General features: G+C 42.0%; 1 protein-coding gene and 1 long non-coding RNA gene across 6 annotated transcripts, besides 5 other annotated features; one reads left to right on the top strand and one right to left on the bottom strand.

The window, feature by feature from the left end:
• Positions 1-5,855: 5,855 nt before the first annotated feature.
• PFDN4 (prefoldin subunit 4) lies at positions 5,856-17,730 on the bottom strand. Of its 4 annotated transcripts, none has more exons than XM_047440198.1 (4): positions 17,447-17,730; positions 11,359-11,466; positions 10,377-10,517; positions 5,856-6,798 (listed from the first exon to the last, which is right to left on the bottom strand). In XM_047440198.1, exons 1-4 carry the CDS (start codon positions 17,714-17,716, stop codon positions 6,667-6,669), a joined length of 651 nt encoding a protein of 216 aa, XP_047296154.1. In that variant the 5' UTR covers positions 17,717-17,730; the 3' UTR covers positions 5,856-6,666. The 4 variants fall into 4 exon arrangements, with proteins under 4 accessions (XP_047296154.1, NP_002614.2, XP_016883368.1 ...); NM_002623.4 differs by having other exon boundaries at positions 17,693-17,730; XM_017027879.2 differs by lacking the exon at positions 17,447-17,730 and adding an exon at positions 16,902-17,415.
• Positions 16,699-17,515: an enhancer, noted in NCBI's record as "NANOG-H3K27ac-H3K4me1 hESC enhancer chr20:52824841-52825657 (GRCh37/hg19 assembly coordinates)". NCBI's record gives its function as "activates a minimal SCP1, AML or CMV promoter by ChIP-STARR-seq in naive H9 embryonic stem cells {active_cell/tissue: H9 hESC(naive)}" and the evidence as "EXISTENCE:reporter gene assay evidence [ECO:0000049][PMID:30033119]".
• Positions 16,699-18,333: a biological region, named in NCBI's record as "NANOG-H3K27ac-H3K4me1 hESC enhancers GRCh37_chr20:52824023-52824840 and GRCh37_chr20:52824841-52825657".
• Positions 17,396-17,665: a silencer, noted in NCBI's record as "silent region_13054". NCBI's record gives its function as "represses an Ori minimal core promoter by ATAC-STARR-seq in GM12878 lymphoblastoid cells {active_cell/tissue: GM12878}" and the evidence as "EXISTENCE:reporter gene assay evidence [ECO:0000049][PMID:35858748]".
• Positions 17,516-18,333: an enhancer, noted in NCBI's record as "NANOG-H3K27ac-H3K4me1 hESC enhancer chr20:52824023-52824840 (GRCh37/hg19 assembly coordinates)". NCBI's record gives its function as "activates a minimal SCP1, AML or CMV promoter by ChIP-STARR-seq in naive H9 embryonic stem cells {active_cell/tissue: H9 hESC(naive)}" and the evidence as "EXISTENCE:reporter gene assay evidence [ECO:0000049][PMID:30033119]".
• Positions 17,656-17,975: an enhancer, noted in NCBI's record as "active region_18141". NCBI's record gives its function as "activates an Ori minimal core promoter by ATAC-STARR-seq in GM12878 lymphoblastoid cells {active_cell/tissue: GM12878}" and the evidence as "EXISTENCE:reporter gene assay evidence [ECO:0000049][PMID:35858748]".
• LOC124904937 (uncharacterized) lies at positions 17,776-18,871 on the top strand. Of its 2 annotated transcripts, none has more exons than XR_007067669.1 (2): positions 17,776-17,860; positions 18,761-18,871. It is a non-coding gene; the product is annotated as an uncharacterized LOC124904937 (long non-coding RNA). The 2 variants fall into 2 exon arrangements; XR_007067668.1 differs by lacking the exon at positions 17,776-17,860 and adding an exon at positions 18,009-18,191.
• Positions 18,872-19,768: the final 897 nt, after the last annotated feature.

The following is a 19,768-nucleotide window of genomic DNA, read 5'->3' as shown; positions in this document are numbered from 1 at the left end:
CTTTGTTAAAGTTAGCATCTGATACATTGCTCAAAGTCAATGCCTAATGAGGGAAAATTTTTTTTAAGGTTTAGACCTCTGAAAGATGTTTTGTCTCCTGAGATATTCATATATAACACCCTTTCCAATGTGGTATTACTCATCATTTTTCCTTCTCTGTCTTAGCTACATAGAGGTTCAGAGTACATCAATCTGAAAGGTGGACTCTGTGACCAACTTATTCTCCCTTTCTTTTTTCCTAATCTATTAATGCTATATTTACATTTTTATATATACACACATATACTTTTATATGTCTATATGAGAACCGATCTGAAATTCCTTTGGATAAGTAACAGAACACAAATAAAATCATCTAACAAAATAAATTTCAAAAGTACAACTTGTGCATTCATTAACCACCCATTTGCTAAGTAAGCTGCAAAACTTGGGGCAGGTTAACGTCTCTAAACCTTCCTCTACTTCTGCACAATGAGGGATGGTAAAGAATCTACTTTAAAGGGCTCTTGTGAGGAAGGAATATATAAAAAAAATTCAGAAGACTGACAGCCTACAATAAGCACTCAAAGCTAATTGTTAACGTCGCCATCACTAGAGTTATTCCTAGATACCAGAATGGAGGATCAAAGAACTTAGTTACCAGAAATTTCTACATACAAACGGATGCTAATGACTGTTGCACAAACAATTTTCTATACCAAATCTGTAAGCCAACTTTTAACTTTTTGGTTGTTGCTGATTTTCTACTTTTAAAACTGGAGAGTCAGCTGGGCGCCGTGGCTCACACCTGTAATCCCAGCACTTTCGGAGGCCGAAGTGGGCAGATCACCTGAGGTCAGGAGTTTGAGACCAGCCTGGCCAACATGGCGAGACCCCATCTCTACTAAAAATACAAAAAAGTTAGCAGGACATGGTGGCATGGGCCCGTAGTCCCAGCTATTCGGGAGGCTGAGGCAACAGAATCACTTGAACCCGGGCGGCGGAGGTTGGCACTGAGCCAACATCATGCCTCTGCACTCCAGCCTGGGTGACAGAGCAAGACTCTGTCTCTATAAGAAAAAAACAAAACAAAACTGGAGAGTCACCATGATCCATTTTATGTCAAATGACAAAAAAGTAGTTGAATGCAATACAGAAATATCAATAACAATGCCACAGTAATGCACATTTTTCCTAGTTTGTTTGTGCCACAACAGAACTTTATAAAAAAACTTGTTATTGTGAAGAATTTCATGTACATAAAATAATTAATAATAAACATATTGACTACCAATAACTATGGACCCATGACCCAACTTAAGAAATAGAACATAAAGATTATTGAAGCCTCCTCCTGTTTTTGCCTACCCCAACTATATCTTCCTCCTACAGTTCATCACTATTCTAAATTTTTTTCTCTACCATTTATTCCTTAGGAGTTTTTGTAACATATACACCTAATTCTGTGTTTTCCCAGTCTACCGTTTGTATAAGCACTACAGCACCCCTTTCTTTCACAGATGTGCTCCAACTATTACCTCTTGTCCGTTGACTTTTCCATCATCTTCTTTCCTGGCTCCTTCTCATCTACTGTGTGTATTCATGTGTTCCCTAGTCCAAAAAAAAAAAAAAAGCCTTTCCATCTGCACCACAGTGACATTAAGTGATGCTCTGCCTCTTTCCCACCACTGTTAACTTTCTTGTAAAAATACTTTTCACTTGCTGCCTCCAAGTCTCACACCACCTACTGCTTAATCTTTTATAATCTGTTTACTACCAGCAACCGGAATGCTTCTAGCTACCCTCGATCCCTAAACTGGATGGGTCAATCTCTTTGATGCTGCCCTCTTTTGTTACCCTCTCCAGCACTATAATCTGCATTAAGAATTCTCAGTTGGTGCTCCAGTCTCTTCCCCCAACACCACCCCCACGCCCTCCAATCCCAGAAAGATGGAATGATTTGAACCCCACCAGCTCTTTCGCTGAGTCAGAATCACCTGGAGTGCTTGTTAAAACCCTGGGCCCTGTCTGCAGAGTTGCTATGAAGTCATCTTTGAAGGCAATGACCATTATGTTGCTCAATATCATTGCCCAGTGGGGGAATTTTTTTTCAGGGTTTAGTCCTGTGAAAAACTTGGCATTTCTAACAAGTTCCCAGGTGATGTTGGTTCCATGTTCACACCTGGAGAAACGCTGAACTAGAGAATTGTTCATGTATTTTTGATCCTCAGCACCTAATGTGTTCAGGCTTTTTCAAACCACACAATTATCACCCCCGAGAATCACTGGTGCCTGACGGGAGGGAGCTGATTCCTCAGGTGTGTGTGGAACTCAGGTGTGTGTGGGCTCAGATGTGGGAGGGGCTGAGGTATGGGGGTCTCAGGTGTGTGTAGGGTTCAGGTATATGGGAGCTCAGGTGTGGGGAGATCAGGTACATGGAGACTCAGCTCTGTGGGGAGTTCGTGTGTGGGAGGGCTTGAGTATATGGGGGCTCCAGTCTGGGGGCCTCAGGTGTATGGGGACTCAGTTATATGTAGGACTCGGGTGTGTGGGGCTCAAATGTGGGGGTCTTAGGGGTGGGGAAACTTAGGTTTCGGGGCTCAGGGTTATGGGAACTCAGCTTTGTGTGAGGCTTAGGTGTGTGGGGGGCTCAGGTGTGTGTGGGGCTCAGGTGTGTGTGGGGCTCAGGTGTGTGTGGGGCTCAGGTGTGTGTGGGGTTCAAGGGTATGGGGCTCAGGTGTGGGGGCCTCGGGTCAGGGGGTCTAGGGTGTTTGGAGCTCCAGTTTGTGTGTAAGGAGTAGGGGTGGGTTAACTCTTTTGAAGGAAATAAGGGCCTTCTTAGTCATCAAATAGAGCTCCATCTTCTCGGCTCTTATTGGCTTCGCCACTGTACTATTTGCTGTTGATCACACTCCCTCCTCCTTTCAGCATTCTCATCATGGCTTCTGGGATTCCACACTCTTGCGGATCTCCCATTACCGTTGCAGCTTCTGTCTCCTTTGCTGTTTCTTTTTCCTCCCACCTGCATTTTCCCCACGTCCTCTTCTTCGTGGCAAGCTACCTTAGCTGTCCAATGCATGGCACCAGGGCTCAGCAGCAGCAGCGTCACCTGGGAGCTTGTTAGAAAGGCAGCATCTCAGCCCGAGCCCACACGGAGCCAGAGTCTGCAGTGTCACAAAATCCCCGGGTGATTTTTATGTGCGTTAAATGTTAAGCCCTTCTGTAGGATGAAAAGGGTTCTCAAATATACCTCCCTAGTCCCGCATATCCTAAACTTCAACACACTTTTCCGGTTGCCAATTACATGTCTCCACGTGGCTGATGCCCTGGGAAGTCCAAGTGCTGATGCCAAGCTCGTGCCCTTCTCTCACCCTCCCCCTCCTCTGCCCTGCTTCCTGCAAACCAGACACTTCTTTCTTTCCTGCCTCTGCTTACACTACCAGCAGGCATCCAGAGATTACAAAGCAAATACAGACAGGCACCACGCAGGTAATATAAATGAGGGTAGTGGGCTAGGTGGGGACTGGGGTGAACTGGAGACAGCCTGCTTTGTCTAACGCATGAGCAGCTGAAGACTGCCTTTTAGAAATATGGTTTCAATGTTGCCAAACCGTGCATTTTTATGTGAGATCTCTGGATTTGATTGTGGCAACAAATTCAGGGTTTTTTTTTTCTTTGTTAAACTATAGAAGCCAAAGAAAACCTGTTGCAAGCTGTACTGGCCTGTGCTCAAAACCAACTTCTCTTTGGGTTTCTCCTTCTAGCTTCACCTTCGTTTCTCCAATCATTGACAAAATTTGTTCATTTCACCCCTTCTCTAAGTCCTGGTGTATCTTTTCTTCAGCCAACTGATTCGGCTCACCAGAAAAGGTACAATAACATCCAGTATTTCTACCTCCATCTTTCTACAGTAAAGCCCACCTAACAACTGCCAAATTATTAAAAAGTACTGCTCCTTTCTATTCAAAACCCTTTAGAGACCCCCTGTCGAAACCCTACCTCAAATGGCTTTTCCATCCCCTTGCTCCCTTACTTAGCCATGCTTTTGACTAGAGCTCACAAGGCTTGGACAAGGATCACAGTAGTTGTGGAGATGGAAAGAAATTAATGGATGTGAGAGATAATGAAACATTACAGTCAGCAGCAAAGCATAGCTGCTCAGAAGACTTCTACTACCACTTCCTGTGAAAAGCCTGCACATGACGTATCATATTATGCACCTGACTTTGCAACCTGGCAGTCTCAGGGCCAGATCTGTTGTGCAATTATCTGTTGTGTAGCCTGCACTGCTTTAAAAAACAAATAGTGGCCCAGTCTAAAAAGAGTGATTGCACATGCAAATCAAGATTCCTGCTTAAAAAAAAAAAAGAAGTTAGTGACAAATCCAGATCAAAACTTCCCTCTGTCGCAACTACTGGCTGAAGCTGACATTTCTTCCTTTCCCTTCAGATGCACCGCGTGCTGTTCCCCAGTCTTCAGCTAGCCCAGGGAAGTTACTATTCACAAAAATAAGCAAAGGCTTTAGAAATGAACTTAAAATGGGAATCAAATATTTGTAATGTTCTAAAATGTCACAGGTAAGTTAAGAAAATGAAGTTAGCAACATCACACGCTTCCATCCCACTGATGTTAGATATTTGGGTTTTTGTATTAGGTTTTCTTGATAATATGCAGGACAAAATTTGAAGTCCCAGTGAATTACATAGTTCAGTCTCTTGGCCCATGTCAGGCGAGTGTTCGTTGTTAACATTTCTAAAGGGCTAAACTTTAGTCGCCCTCCTATGCTAGATCTTCCACTGGGGGATCCCCAGACCTATCCATTCCCCACCCCTCCCAGGCCCTGCAGGCGACTGACTTCTATGGACCACCTCCGGATTCTGGTTGGGTTTGGCCAATGGTGGGACACAGGTGGATTTTGGAGGGAGAATGAGGTCAGGATGTCTAGTCCCCTGGCTCTACCACTGCAGGTATGACACAGGCTGGCTGTGTTCCTCCCCAGATGAAAAGCAACTTTCCCTGGTCAGGGAGTGAAGTGGGCAGTTGCTCTCTCCCCTGGCCTTTGAGGGTCCAAAAGGACCCTAGTGGTCACCCGGCACCATTGTTAACTTTGGTGAGAGTTTCCTCAAATTATTCTGATCTTATTTCCTGCTGCAACTTGATTGACTACCTCCCCAGCCTCAATCCTCTAACTGAACATTAACCAAATGGATGCAAGAAAAAAATATCCTTGCATTTTTTTGGTAAGAGTCATTTTCCAGAACTGGAATATCACTATTTGGGAAGATTTTTGCAGCAATTTAAAAATTTGCCTTTGGCCGGGCACAATGGCTCGCCTGTAATCCCAGCACTTTGGGAAGCCGAGGCGGGCAGATCACAAGATCAAGAGATGGAGACCATCCTGGCCAACATGGTGAAACCATGTCTCTACTAAAAATACAATTATTTGGGAGTGGTGACAAGTCCCTGTAATCCCAGCTACTCTGGAAGCTAAGGTGGCAGAATCGCTTGAACCCAGGAAGTGGAGGTTGCGGTGAGCCGAGATCGCACCACTGCACTCCAGCCTAGACAACAGAGTGAGATGCCATCTCAAAAAAAAAAAAGAAAAGAAAAAACTGCCTTTATAGTATTAAGAATTTTAGAAATTATATAATCATCTATCTTTAAGCCTGAATTCATGTTTATAAACACTGAACCAAAAAATACATATGCAGTTTAGCCTTAAAAATTAAAAATATTTCCTCTAAAATTATGTATATTTAATCCTAACAATCTCATTGTTGTGTTAGGATCCTTCCATTCACATTTGGCACATCAGTGCCATCTGCTGGAAAGTTAATACATTTAGGTCTCCCAAATCCCAAAATGTTTGTCTTTTGTGGGGGAGTGGGAAGAAATGCATCCTTTATTTAAGAAATAAGCCTTACTTTTACATACATAGCTGTTTAACTTCCACATCTTTATCAATATAAACCCCAATTAATTACAAAGCACTAAAATAAAATCTAAAATTTAAAACGAAAAAACACTAAACATTTCTTTCTGCACATCTCTTGGTTTCTAAAACGTTCTTCTGTGGTTCTGCCCTGTTTGTATAAAGCTCCACATGCCTCCACATGTTTAAACATTACCCATTCTTTTACCCAAATCTCTGATATTGATAGATATGTAAAAAATGTTAAATATGTATGTTTAAATATAATATGTAACATATATTTAAATAAAATATATACATATATATTTTGAAGTCTATGACAAAGCTTTAGTTGTGAAATAAGCAAGGATGCAGGATTGTACATCTTTTCATCGTGCTTTCCCCGTCATTAGACAGCAATTAAAATCAGACAGAAACAACATGACACAACTGTTAAATTTTCTTATGTGAAAATTGCAACAACAAATATTCTAAATAATATAGAAACATAAAAGATTGCTTAACTGATTTTAATAACATGACATGAAGCCCCTAGACTTGATATAATCGTTATGCAAAATACATAGGTGAATACTGTCTTCTTTTAAAAATATAAAATAAATAAGCAGACATGTGAAAATGGGCAAGTTTCCATTAAATAAATGAAAATTTTTAAAAAAGAAAGTTTTGCTTTCCATGTCATTTGAAGAAGGAAAATTATCATTTTAAACAATATTCAAGTTTATTAAACAAATAAAAAAAGTATTATAAAATGTTTAACTTTCATCAGCTTCAAGGTTTATGTTGCTCCCGAATTTTGCATACAACTGAACTTTCAAATCTGCTAACACTCGCTGAATTGATTCCACTCTGGATTCTAAGGCGTCAATTTCTTCTTGCAAATTTTTCTGGAAAAAAAATATTTTAAATTAATTCTATTCAATAGGATGATTTCTGAGCATCTGTGTCTGAAATAATATTTGGGAAGAATTTTAGGTCAAGAACCTTCTAAACTTGGACAGGCAGCTAAGTAACACTGATAATTAGATCTAAATGTCTGAATGTGGGCATTTTTAATTCATGGTCCATATCTGCTTATCACAGAATAAATCAAGTTTGTTTTCTCAGTTTCTGCTGATCTAAAAAATAGTAAAAAATTACTGTCTAAATTATTTCCTAACAAAGAACCAAATACAAAGACTTCTATAAATAGTTTATCCTGGGCCTGCTGGCTTCTAACCCAGCTTTTTCCAACAACAAAAATAACTATGAGACTACAGGAAATGATAGAAACTCACACCACCAACCACCAATAATTAAGAAGAACAACTTATGATCCAAATCTGGCAGAAATTTTCACTAACTTTGAGGCCTCTGGAGCTAAACTTTGGAAAAGAGTGGTAAAAAGTGCCTCATTTGTAAGAAAGAGCAGCTTTGCCCAGTGAAAACTCAGATATTTTCTAAGTATTTGAGGTGATAGACATGTTAACTATCTTGATTTAATTATTCCATATTGTATTAATAAATTATAACATCCCGTTTTACACCATAAATTTATACAATTATAAATTGTCAATTTATAATTAAAAAAAAGAAAATACAATTCCAAAGGACAATTCTTTCTACCTACCTATCTATAGATACTTAGCCTCTTCAATTCTAAAACCAGTTTTGTAATGTTAATGCTTCCCTCATTAATAGATTAAATAAATTTTAACATATACTCTTTGTTTTAAAAAAAAAAAAAAAAGCCATTAAGTTCCTTCCTGGCTAGGATCAAAACAATTTTTTTTCCTAAACATGACAAAAAAATATGAAATCACACAAACCAAATACCCACTAACATTAGAAACCAAAGAATATCTAATACTGACAGTGTTGCCGTTTTAGAAATCTAGCCAATGGTTCTCAAACGGTGGCCCCGAGACCAGTGTCAGGGACAAAATCACCTGGGAACTTGTTAGAAATACACATTCTGGGGCCCTACCTCAGCCCACCTGAAAGATCGTCTTTGGGTCGGGCCCAGCAACCTGGATTTTTAACAAGCCCTGTGGTGACTGTGATTCTCACGCATGCTAAGTTTGAGAATCACTGTTACAAAACAAGAAACAAAAATAAGACATATGGCTACTAGAAAGGGATAAATTCTAAATTTCTATACCGAGAAAACCTGGTTAATAAGTAAAATAAGACACTAGAAAGTCATTTTAATATCGCAAGTCCAATCATCTCTCTCTTTTCCAAAAATCTCTGAAGGCTCCTCTTTGCTCTGGGACGGGAGTGGGCAAACTATAGCCCACAGGCCCAATCTAGCCTGAAGCTTGTTTTTGTCAAGTTTTATTGGAAGACAGCCACGCAGATTCACTCATCTTGCTTTCATAGTAATTATGGCAGAGGCTGTGCAGCCCACAAAACCTAACGTATTTACTTCTGGCCCTTCACAGAAAGTTTGCTGACCCCTGCTAAGACAAAGTACAATTTCTTCAACTCAACTGACTGGAGTTCTCCAAGATGTGGCCACAATTTCAGGTGCTCCCAATCTCCAGCAAATACATCTTCTTGCAGGTCTATGTTTGCACCACCGTCATCCTATGGCCGTTCACACATGTTGCTTCTCACGACTAGAACCCCCCGCCCCCCGCCGCCCCTTTCTGGCTAATAGCCACTTATTCCTCAGCTGTTATCCCATCACTTTCCCTGGGAGCCCTTCCCTGACCCTTGATGTCCAGACTAGTGTAGATTCCTCTTCCTGTGTTCTTAAAGCCACCTCTATCCTCATATCACTTTCTACTCATTATCAGTTTTGTTTACTTTTTTTTCTTTCCATCTAGACTATATGCTCCATGCAGGCAGGGGCCAGGCAGGTTTTGTTGTCCCCAATTATCCCTAGTACATGGCAGAACCTGATACAGAGTAAGCACTCCATTCATTCTAGAATTCTAGAATGAGTAAAAAAAGAAAGGTTCAGCCGGGTGTGGTGGCTCACGCCTGTAATCCCAGCACTTTGGGAGGCTGAGGCGGGTGGATCACGAGCACGAGGTCAGGAGTTCGAGACCAGTCTGCCCAACATGGTGAAACCCTGTCTCTACCAAAAGTACAAAAATTAGCTGGGCGTGGTGGTGGGCGCCTGTAATCCCAGCTACTCGGGAGGCTGAGGCAGGAGAATTGTTTGAACCCAGGAGGCAGACGTTGCAGTGAGCCGAGATTGCGCCATTGCACTCCAGCCTGGGCGACAGGGCAAGACTCCATCTCAAAAAATAAATAAATAAATAAATAAATAAAATAAAATAAAAGTTCAGTAGCTATCTGTGTATGGGGCAGGGGATTCACAATAGCCACAAAAACCATAAGCTATCTGGGAATACTTCCAATAAAAATGTTTTTTAAATGGTTAAACAAATAAAAAGAACAAAAATCACAAAATTTGACCAAGAAGAAAAGATTTAAACATAAGGGAGACATATAAGATTTATGCATGGAAAGACCCAGGAGTGATAGTTCTTCTGAAGACTTACTAAATGTGGGTTTCATTCATACGAAGTTTTGCTTTTTATGACATTTGAAGAGAGACTATCATTTTAAGCAATCAGGTTAATTAGCAAAAGCATTAGGAAAGGTTTAATTGCCATCTGCTTCTCATAGACAAACAACGTGGCTGTCCCTCCCAAATAGTAAGAAGGCATGTGAACTGAAAATTTCATACCATGTATCAAATGTCTCAGATATTATCAGAGAACTCATATGCTGACTGACCCAGTAATTATATTTCTCTAATTATTTCCTCAAAACAATTTTCTAAATGTGAACAAAGATTTATGTAGAAGAATGCTCACAGTAACATTAGTACAGCAAAATATTGGAAACAAATTAATGCTAACAATAAGACCCGTGACCCCAATTGATAACCATCAACATGATATTAAACAGTCTTCAAAAACGATGTTTTTAAAGGCCTGTGTGCCAGGCTCAGAGCAGGCTTCCAATGAGTATCTGCTGGACAAACAAACATTCAATGAAACCAGCAAAAATGCTCCTCCTGGAACATTAATTGTCCCAACTGGGAAGCAAACTACACGGAGAGAGGCAGAGAGAACATAAAAGAAATACAGGAAAATGTTCACTATGAATGGTTACCTCTGCATAGCAGAATTACAGGGGATTTTTCTTTTCTGCTTCAATATATGCTATACCTTCTAAATACTTTTAGTTTTGAGCAAGGTTCTGGAGTCAGAAGACCACTGTCTATGTGTCACTTTGAATAAATCCCATAACCTCTCTAAGCCTCTATTCTTTGTCCCTAAATTGGGATAACAGGTCATCGTTATGATTCAACAAAATCCTGCTGGCAAAGCATTCGGAGCATGCCTGGGACATAACAAGGCAGTAAATATTAGCTATAGCTAGCATCTACTATTTCCCTACATCTATAATTACATGTTCTTTATAGTGATATAAATTCTAATTTCAGAATTAACCTTTAACATACCTTTGCTTCTTCTAACATTTCTTGCGTTTCTTCTTGAGAATGGCTAATGAAGACATCACCAATTTGATAAGGTATCATTAAGCAATCATCATCTGCAAGCATGATGTCATCACAAGCATCTTCTAGGTTTTGGAGTTGTTTCTATAAATGCAAAATGGCAAAGAAAATGTACTCAAAGTTCTCTGATAGAAGCTAAAGGCCAATTGTAATTTGGGGACAGCAACTCTCTGAGGGACCCTCTCACAAAGGTATTATTACCACATTAGAATAAGACCTTAATTTGTAACTTTTTAGAAGACATTTCACAAGCAAGCACTTAGAGCTACCTAAAGCTTTGTCCTCTGGACAATAAGCGCCCTGTGGTGGACAGCAGGCACATGGTCACTCAAAATTTCTTCTATTTTAACAATTTTTGACTTTGTGAATTCTGCCTTCCTACAAAAACAAAACCAAAAAAACCAGCCTACATTTCTCAGCCTTGCTTGCTGATAGGGTGTAAGTAAATCATGCGGGTAATGAAAGTTCTGCCAGCATGCATAAGTGATAATAACTTCAATTCCACCAATCAAATGCATTTGAGCTGGATTTCAACTCAAGGGGGACGGCTGGACACAGGCCCCAGATTTACTGGGGTAGGTGGCACTGGCAGCAGCAGCTTGGTGTTCCTAAGTCTGCAAGGGTGGCTTCCTCATTGGGAAGACAGCTGACTCTGGGATCAGTGGAGGCAACAGCTGTTCCACCGCCAGCCAAGTTCTCCGAGACTTGTTCCTGGAACCTCGGTCTAGACTCAAGCTCCTCAACAACTCTGTAAGTTATCGCATATCCCTTAAAAAAAAAATGACTTTCTGCTTAACTAGAGTGGATCGCGTCATTCATCTGCAACAAACAGCCCAGAGAAATATATATTCACTTGTTAACTGAGTTCAGTTTTAGTAGCTATAGTATAAAAAAATTTTATTCTTCTAATAATTATTTTCAATACCTTTTTTACTTCTATTTCTTCCTTCAGCTCTGTGATTCTACTTGTATTCCGTGCAAATTTGTTTATCTTTTGTTGATCTTCGAAAGTAACATTGACATCTTCTGCAGCCTGAAAGAAGTGTTTAAGTTTTTGTAAAATTTTAACGGAGAAGTTATCAGTTAGCTTTTTATATTTCTCAACAATAACTCAATAAGCCATTTGCACTCATATAGTCAAGAATCACAAGAAGTACAGAACATAACAAATGCCTTATTTTTTGCTCCACAAGCTTAAGGTTTGTTTGTAAATCTATAACCTTTTCTGATACTCCATAAAATAATTCCTAAGCTATAAACATATTGCAAACATAAAGAACAATTAATAAGTCCTTTTAAAAGGAAAGAAAAAAAGCCAACTTTTGGCACAGAGCAGAATTTCTCAAGTTGGAGCATTCTTTCATTAAGATGACCCAGGAAACAAAAAGTTACATGGTCAAATATATTGGTAAATGTCTCAGAGTAGTGTTTTTTTTTTCTTAGAGCTAAAACTTGCATGAGCTTACTGGCTAAAGGGTCACTGTACATTTCAGTGGCTCTATTCCATTCACAGCAAAAATTATGTTTATAATGTAGGACCTGTTTAAATGTCTTAATAAGGTCTACTTTACTAAAAAATGATGAAAATTGAATGTTTAGTATTTAAAAATTAATATTTAATGTGATTAAATTTACAAATTTGCAAATAAAGAGTACTTGGATAACATAAAGTACCAATGAAATAATAAAAAAATAGCTAACACTGATTGAATTTACTATGTGCCAAAACTTCCTAAGTACTTTATTATCTCTGCTAATCCTGCAATCCATCTTATTAGGGAGGATCACCAGCACTATTTTACAGATTGAGAAACTGAGGTACACTTTATATAATATGGCCAAAGCCACAGAGCCAGTAGGTGGTGGAACTTGATTTCAACCCAGGCAGACTGGCTTCAGAGGTCAGACAGGTCCATGAGTTCTCGGTAACTGAATGTGAACGTGCGTCTCTGTGAGTGTGCACGTGTGTGTGTGAGTGTGTACACAGGCTTAGGCACATCTGGAAGAGGCAGCAGGATGTCTGCTTTCATCAGATTCTCAAGGAGGTACCATATATTTTTAAAAAATAAAGCTAAAACATAAAACCAGACTCTCCTTAGGGTTTCCCTTCCATTTATAAAATGAAAACCAGAGCACCTGATTCTAGTTTAAAGAAGAAAAGATATTTGTGTGTGTATAAAAATAGTTCATACTGAAACACTACTTTTGGCTCTTTTGCAGTAACAGTAATGAGCTCACAACATTCACACTCCATCCCTGACCTGGTCTCTCATGACCATCGACTTAAGGTATGTGAACTTTTATTTCTCAGAGGTTGAAAGGCAGTGTCAAGCAATACAGAGCTCAGTGGTCGGAATATAACACAGTCCTCCCCTTTGTTAGGCTCTCATTCCAAGAAACAATTTCACATGCATTATGCCCCACCTCAACAACCCAGAAGATAGCCTGAAAAAATCCTTTACATCACACTATGTCTAGCTTTGAGTGTTCAACCGTATGCATAATTTTGATGAATATGGAAGTTGGGGAACACTGAGCTACGCTCAAGAAACCAAAGTCTATATCTTGGCACACAAGTCATTTTGCCTAAGTGAGAACTGTCAATTCCCTACGCAAATAGACAGCAGAGAATTCTGAAGAGTTCCTGTTTGCCTGAAGAGTATATGCCATTTTGTTTAAATATTGAACCCCCAACAGGCATTTATAGATGTATTTGTCTTGGTGAGGGCTCAACAGAGCCATTCACATGAACGGATCCAGTGCAGGACTGCCTGGCACATAACTAAGGCTAATACATGGTTTCTGAATTTGAATCTAAATCATGCTTGATCAGACTCAAACACATAGTTTCCAAAATGTGGTAGAGAGAATTTGGCTATCTGCTTTCTGTCTTTCCAAAGCAGGAATTTCCTGTTGTAGCCCCACCAAACCACAGGCATCAGCACACATGTGGCCCCTGGTATCCAGATCTTTACAGTGGTTTTCCCACTGGGGTTAAGGGCTAAAGTTGATGTGTGAGTCAAATATACTGCATGCCGCCCAGTGGAGTGCCATTTACAGCAGACAGTAAGATGTCAGTGCCTTTGATGGCTAACAGAGGCTTCTGTTTTAGTCTCACTGTCCTAGAACATTCCTACATTTCTTGAAGCTGCATTTTGGCAAGAAGTGGGTAATTTTTTTTTTTTTTTGGTGAGACAGAGTCTCACTCTGTCGCCCAGGCTGAAGTGCAGTAGCATGATCTTGGCTCACTGCAACCTCCACTTCCCGGGTTCAAGCCATTCTCCTGCCTCAGCCTCCCAAGTAGCTGAGATTACATGCACATGCCACCATGTCCGGCTAATTTTCGTATTTTTAGTAGAGAAGGGGTTTCACCATGTTGGCCAGGCTGGTCTTGAACTCCTAACCTCAGGTGATCCACCAGCCTCGGCCTCCCAAAGTGCTGGGATTACAGGCTTGAGCCACCACGCCCAGCCAGAAGTGGGTAATTCTTAACTGGGGGGTGGGGGTGGTCAATGGACATTGACAGGTCGATATACCCAGAGACTGTATGCAAAATGGCATGTATAGTATGTGCATCCTTCTGGAAGGTCTTCATAGCTTTCACCAGATTCTCAAAGGGATCCACAACCCCAAAAGGTTAGGAACTCCTGCCTTCAGGGAAACCAGCTGTAGCTACTCTCAAAGTCAGAAGAACTCTAGGAAGAACTCATATCCTATAGTATCTGAGGCAGCACACAGAGTGGTGGGAAGAGTCAGGCTGCAATCCAATCCAAGCAAACAGGAACCTTGGGCAAATTACCCAATTCTTTGGAACCACCTCAGGTTTCTCATCTGTAAAATGGAGAGGCTAGTTCCTACCTTATAGGGTTGATAAAATGAACATGTAGGAGAAAGCCTGATGATGGAGTCAGTCAAATGATAGCTAAGCATTTTACATCCTGAATATTGTTTATCAAAAATCATTACAAAGAACAGATCCAGATCTAGAAAGAAATTCTGCTAGGCCAAAGAGAAATATGCCTGCTCGGGATCCAAAGTAAAAATTAAAATTCCCTGGGCTCTTTTCTTGAGAACTAATATCTTACGGGATTAGAGGAGGAAACTGAACCATACTCAGTCATGCCTCACACCAAGTCTAGGTATTACACGGAGTCTGCACTGACAGCTGGGTCCCTAGAAATAAATTCTGGCCAATTTCAGTCTTTTATTTTTACTTTTAAAAACATATCTACCAAGTCTGTATGATGTAAACTTTTGCTTTGTATTTGTATTCAACCTTCTTTGTTTGTTTTTTTGTTTTTGAGACGAGTCTTGCTCTATCGCCAGGCTGGAGTGCAGTGGTGTGATCTTGGCTCACTGCGACCTCTGCCTCCCAGGTTCAAGCGATTCTCGTGCCTCAGCCTCCCGAGTAGCTGGGATTATAGGCAAACGCCATCATGCCCAGCTAATTTTTGTATTCAACTTTCATCCATGCAGTAGTTTATTTAACAATTACTGTTTCCTATACGCCATGCACTGTGACAAGAGAGCCACTATCCCACTTTCATGAATACAAATGGCAAGCATACATCCTGGTGGAGGAAGAGAGCAAAAAACAAGATGAACAAGATAATGTTCAATGGTGACAAACGTGATGATGAAAATAAAACAGCTTAGGAGTAGAAAGTTTTGGGGGCCTGGGGAGTGAAGGAGGCTTCTTTAGATAAAGGTCAAAGGTAGCCTCTCTGAGGAAAGGACATTTGTATATAGGATAATGAACAGAAATCAAAGTGCAGATCTCCTTATGGTCAAGAACTGGATCTTAGAAGGCAGAACTCTAGAGAGGAGAGGACTGAATCATCTCATCTAAACACTCTCCCCAGCAAAGTCATGACCAGTTGAGAGATACGATGTGTTACAAACGTAAAGTACTCCAGATTGTACGATTTGCTTTTAATTAAACTCAAAGGGCTATCTCTCTCTGTTTCACTCTCACTCACTGGCATACACATATGTTTTCTCCTAGTGAGGGCAAAGGGGAAAAGTGTACATGCAAGCTAATCTATCGGGAATTGTTCCTAACACTGGAAACATCTACAGGAGGACACTGCATCTATCATGTGACTCTTAAAGCCTCCAAAGTTAAAGAAGCTCCTTTATATTTTGGCCACCACCTACCCCTCTATAAGTTCTTTTCCCATCATGGCTCAAACTCTCTTCCCCTGATTATCTGCCATCGGGCCTTCCTTGTATTAAATGCACTCAGAGTCTCTGCAGATACTCCTCTCTAGAATGCTTCGCTCCCTATCCAACTCTCCCTTCCTTTCCTTACATAATCTCACAGATCTCAACTTAAATGGCACTTTCCCAGGAAAGTCTTCTCTGATCTCAAAACAGACCTCATTTTGGCCCTCATTTCATAAGCACTTTTCCTTCACAGTTCTCATCAGAGAAACTAGTTTTCTGTCTGACTATCTGAGTAATGCCTGCTCTGCCCTGGAACATACGTTCTTTGGGGCTATGAGATTAAGGGGAGAAGAGCTTTCTCACTGGTCACCACAGTTGTCTCCACTTAAAACTGAGACTACGCCATATTACGTGCCCCCGAAAATTTACTGAATCAATGAAAGGAAAAAAAAAGTTGGTAATTAGAAATTTTGCAATCAAAATCCAAGGTTCAAATCATTCTTCTGCCATTTCCTCTTCTACCATTTACTTCACCTCTCTGCACTTCAGTTTCCATACCTATAAAACGGAGTGAACCACAACTAGTATCTTCCAAGGAATTAAAGGCCATACCTAACACCAGAGGGCCCAATTTAACAAACTAGAGGTGAAGTGAATCTCACAAAGTTTCATACTTTTTTGAATCACCATGGCCCTAGACCCTACTCTGGGACACAGTAAGAATTTTTGGATGGCAGAATAGTAGGGTGAGCAACACATCCTGAGTTGGCTGGGGCTTTCCCATTTTTGGCAGTCCCTCAATTTCATATAAAAGGGGGCAATGGGTCACCCTACACCAGGCACAGATGGCATAGACTATGTGGTACTGGATAGGGGCAAAGCAAAGAAGTTCTAATGTGGTCTTAAAAGTGGAATGAACGCAAATCCCTCCAGCCAAGAGATTCTCATCAAAGACCCCCTATAGCAGTTTAAAACACAGACTCCGGAGTCAGAATGCCTGTGTTTAAATGCTAGCTTTGCCTCCGCGCCTGTTTTCTCATTGTTAAATAAGGATAAAAACAGTATCTCCCTCAAAGAACATAAAATAAACAATACACGCAAAACAACTTACAGCTGTACCTAGCACACTGTAAAGCTCCCCAAATTATCAGCCGTTATCTCCTTCCCCCTCTCCAATTTTCTTTTTCTTCTATCTGACTATCTTTACACATCTGGGAAGGCTCACGGGATTAAAAACCCCACATGGAAGTTTAGCCGGCTTAGTGGTTACACAGGCGTGCTTTGAGAAAAACAAAAACAAACCTGAGTTTGAACTCCAGCTCTGCTTCTTACTAGCTGAGTCACTTTAGGGCCTCTAACTGCTCTGTGTCTAAGTTTCTCTACCTGCAAAGTGGAGAGGAACCCATTGCACTTGCTGAGTTGCGGGGAGGATAACAGATAAACGGCCGGCTGCTGGGCCCGGCACATCTTCCATTCTCAATAAATACTGGTTTTAGCCTGAAGGACTCAGGGGCATCAAGCGTGGAAATGGGCAGCTCCAGGTTGGACACAGGGTCTCTGGGGCCTGCTAATCTGGGGATGCAGGAACCTGCTGTCCCCGTTATGAGCTGCGTAACCTCGGGCAGGTGACTCCCCATCTCTGGGCCTCAGTTTCCTCACCCGTAACCACGCTCCCAGCAGCAGCTACCCATAACCAGTGAGGCTAATGCGATCATGCCGGTGCAACGCCCGAGTCAAGGCCAACCACACTCAACGGGACCTTCGGCTTCCCACACCTCAGGGGCGAGGCCGGGGCTGCAGGTTCCTCAGACTCCCCGGGGGCACCCTCGGCATCGCGGGAGGCGGACCTGCGTCCTTCGAGGCTCCCGGCCCCAGCCCCGGCGCCCCGCCTCGGCTGGCCAGGTGCCTAGGAAAACGCTCAGGGCGCCAGGCGCGAGCAGGCCTTGCCGCGGGACCGCTCTCAGGGCCTCGGCCTCGGCCTCGGGTCCCACGCCGGGCTTCGGAGCTGCGCACCCCCAGCATCCCGCGCCCGGGCCCCAGCGGCCGAGATCCGGCGCCGCCCGAGCATCCAGAGCCCCGAGCTCCCCACTCACCGCCTTCTTCATGGTGGCCGCCATCTTGGGACTGGACTACCGCAGGCGGCGGGGAGGGCCGCAATGGCGCGCTTCGCCCCCGAGCGTTCTCTCGCTCCCGGTCGGCCTAGAACTCCCCGCAAAAATACAACACTGTCTCCACATTCCGTCCTCTTGGACTTTTGGCCAGTGAGTCCAAACGGCTGGGACGTAGGGAGGAAATGTGACCTGGAAGGACTTGGTACATGCCAATTAAAGGGACAGGCAACCCCCGTGGACCGACATAAACACGGGGGTGTGGCGAACGGCTCCGGCCGCGGGCAGCAGGGGGCGCGCCCAAGGCTCAGCGCGGCGGGGCCCAGCTGGGGCAGGATCAAAGGGCTCGGGGAATTTTTCTCCATCCGTCCCACAGACTTGCATTGAGAAAGCTAACCTACCTGTAAAACAGCTAGGAACGAATGGCCTTGGCAAATAGGGTGTGAGATTTATGTGCCATGATAATTCAGGTGGTGTAAAGGAGGTACTCCTATCTTTTAATGTAATTTTTTTTTAATTTAAATTCGGGGGGTATGTGTGCCGGTTTATTACATGGATATACTGCATGGTGCTAAGGTTTGGGTTTCTAATGATCCCGTTGCCCAAGTAGTGAACATAGTACCCCACAGGTAATTTTTCAACCCCTTTCCCCTGCCTCCTTCCCCGTTTTTGGAATCCGTAGCATTTATTGTTCCCACCTTTATGTCCACGAGTACCCAGTGTTTAGCTGTCACTCATAAGTGGGAACATGAGTGGTTGGTTTTCTGTTTCTGTGTTAATTCACTTAGGATAATGATGTCCAGCTGCATCCATGTTGCTGCAAAGGACATGATTTTGTTCTTTTTTATGGCTGCATAGTATTCCATGGTGTATATGGACCACATTTTCTTTATCCTATCCACCACTGATGGGCATCTGGGTTGATTCCATGCCTTTGCTGTTGTGACTAGGCAATCCTATTAATTAATTTACAGCAATATTACTGAACAATTACTGTATATTCTGACACTTGTGTCTCCCAATTAGTAATTTTTTTTTTTTTTTTTGCCTTAGGACCTCTTTATACTCCTGGAAATTACTGAGGACTCCAAAGAACTTTTGTTTATGTGGGTTATTTATCGATATTTGCTGTATTAGAAATTAAAGCAGAATTTTTAAAATGTATTTATTAATTCATTTAAAATAATATAAAACTCCATTCCATGGTAATAAAAATCACACTTTAAAAATAACTATATTTTCTAAGACAAAAATAAATTGAGAAGATTGTCATCATTTTACATTTTCACTGATCTCTTTAATATCAGGCTTAATGGAAGGTTACATTCTCATGTCTACTTCTGCATTCAGTCTCTCCAAATACACTGTTTAGTTGCCTAGTTGTAGGTATGAAAAACCCCAGCCTCATACAAATCATGTAGTTGGGAAAGGGAGGCCCTCATGGATCCCTGAAAAGGTCTCAGGGACCCCCGAGGTTCATGGGCCACAGCTTGAGAACTGCCCCTGACAAGCCTCCTCCTTTCTCAAAGTCCCAATTTCCTCTTTGGTTAAATGAGGGGAATGAGACCTTATAGCACCCTGTGCCCTCCCCACCGAACCACCTAGCCCGCCACGGGCATCGCCTGTTCTCCTGCCTATTCTGGGCTCTCCAGGCCCTTAGTATTGGGACTTTCCAGTGTGTAGCTCATATGTGCTCAAAAAAGTATTTGTTGAATAAAGATGTTTTTCCAGGGTTAAATCTTAGCACCGGGTCTGGCACATAGGAGATGCTCCATCAGTGATATCTGTTTATTCCAGAGCTCAATGTAAAAGCACTGCAAGAAACAAATGGTGGAGAGGGAGACAGAAATAAAGGGCAAAATTGTCACAAATGGTACCAAGTGCATGAAGGAGATAAATGAGGTGCTGAGGCAGAGCACAGAGGGGAGGGGTGGGGGCCAGCTCTGGAGCTGGCCTCTAAGCTAAGAGAAAATGGGAGGCCTCAGCATGGGGAGAGGAGACGAAAGTGGACCCCAGGGGTGGAGGGCTGAGAGGGAAAGAGCCTGGTGAGACATGGTAGAA

This window comes from Homo sapiens, chromosome 20, assembly GCF_000001405.40.
Source record: "Homo sapiens chromosome 20, GRCh38.p14 Primary Assembly".
NCBI lineage: Eukaryota > Metazoa > Chordata > Mammalia > Primates > Hominidae > Homo > Homo sapiens.
Note: the sequence above shows the minus strand (reverse complement) of the source record. Positions and strands in the feature narration are given on the sequence as shown.

Coding starts and splice junctions, on each gene's coding strand:
- PFDN4 (XM_047440198.1), bottom strand. CDS start 17,716: ATGGCGGCCACCATGAAGAAGGCGGTGAGTGGGGAGCTCGGGGCTCTG. Junction 11,467..17,446: donor GGGAGCCTCGAAGGACGCAG/GTCCGCCTCCCG, acceptor CACTTCTTTCAG/GCTGCAGAAGATGTCAATGT. Junction 10,518..11,358: donor AAGAAATAGAAGTAAAAAAG/GTATTGAAAATA, acceptor TTGCATTTATAG/AAACAACTCCAAAACCTAGA.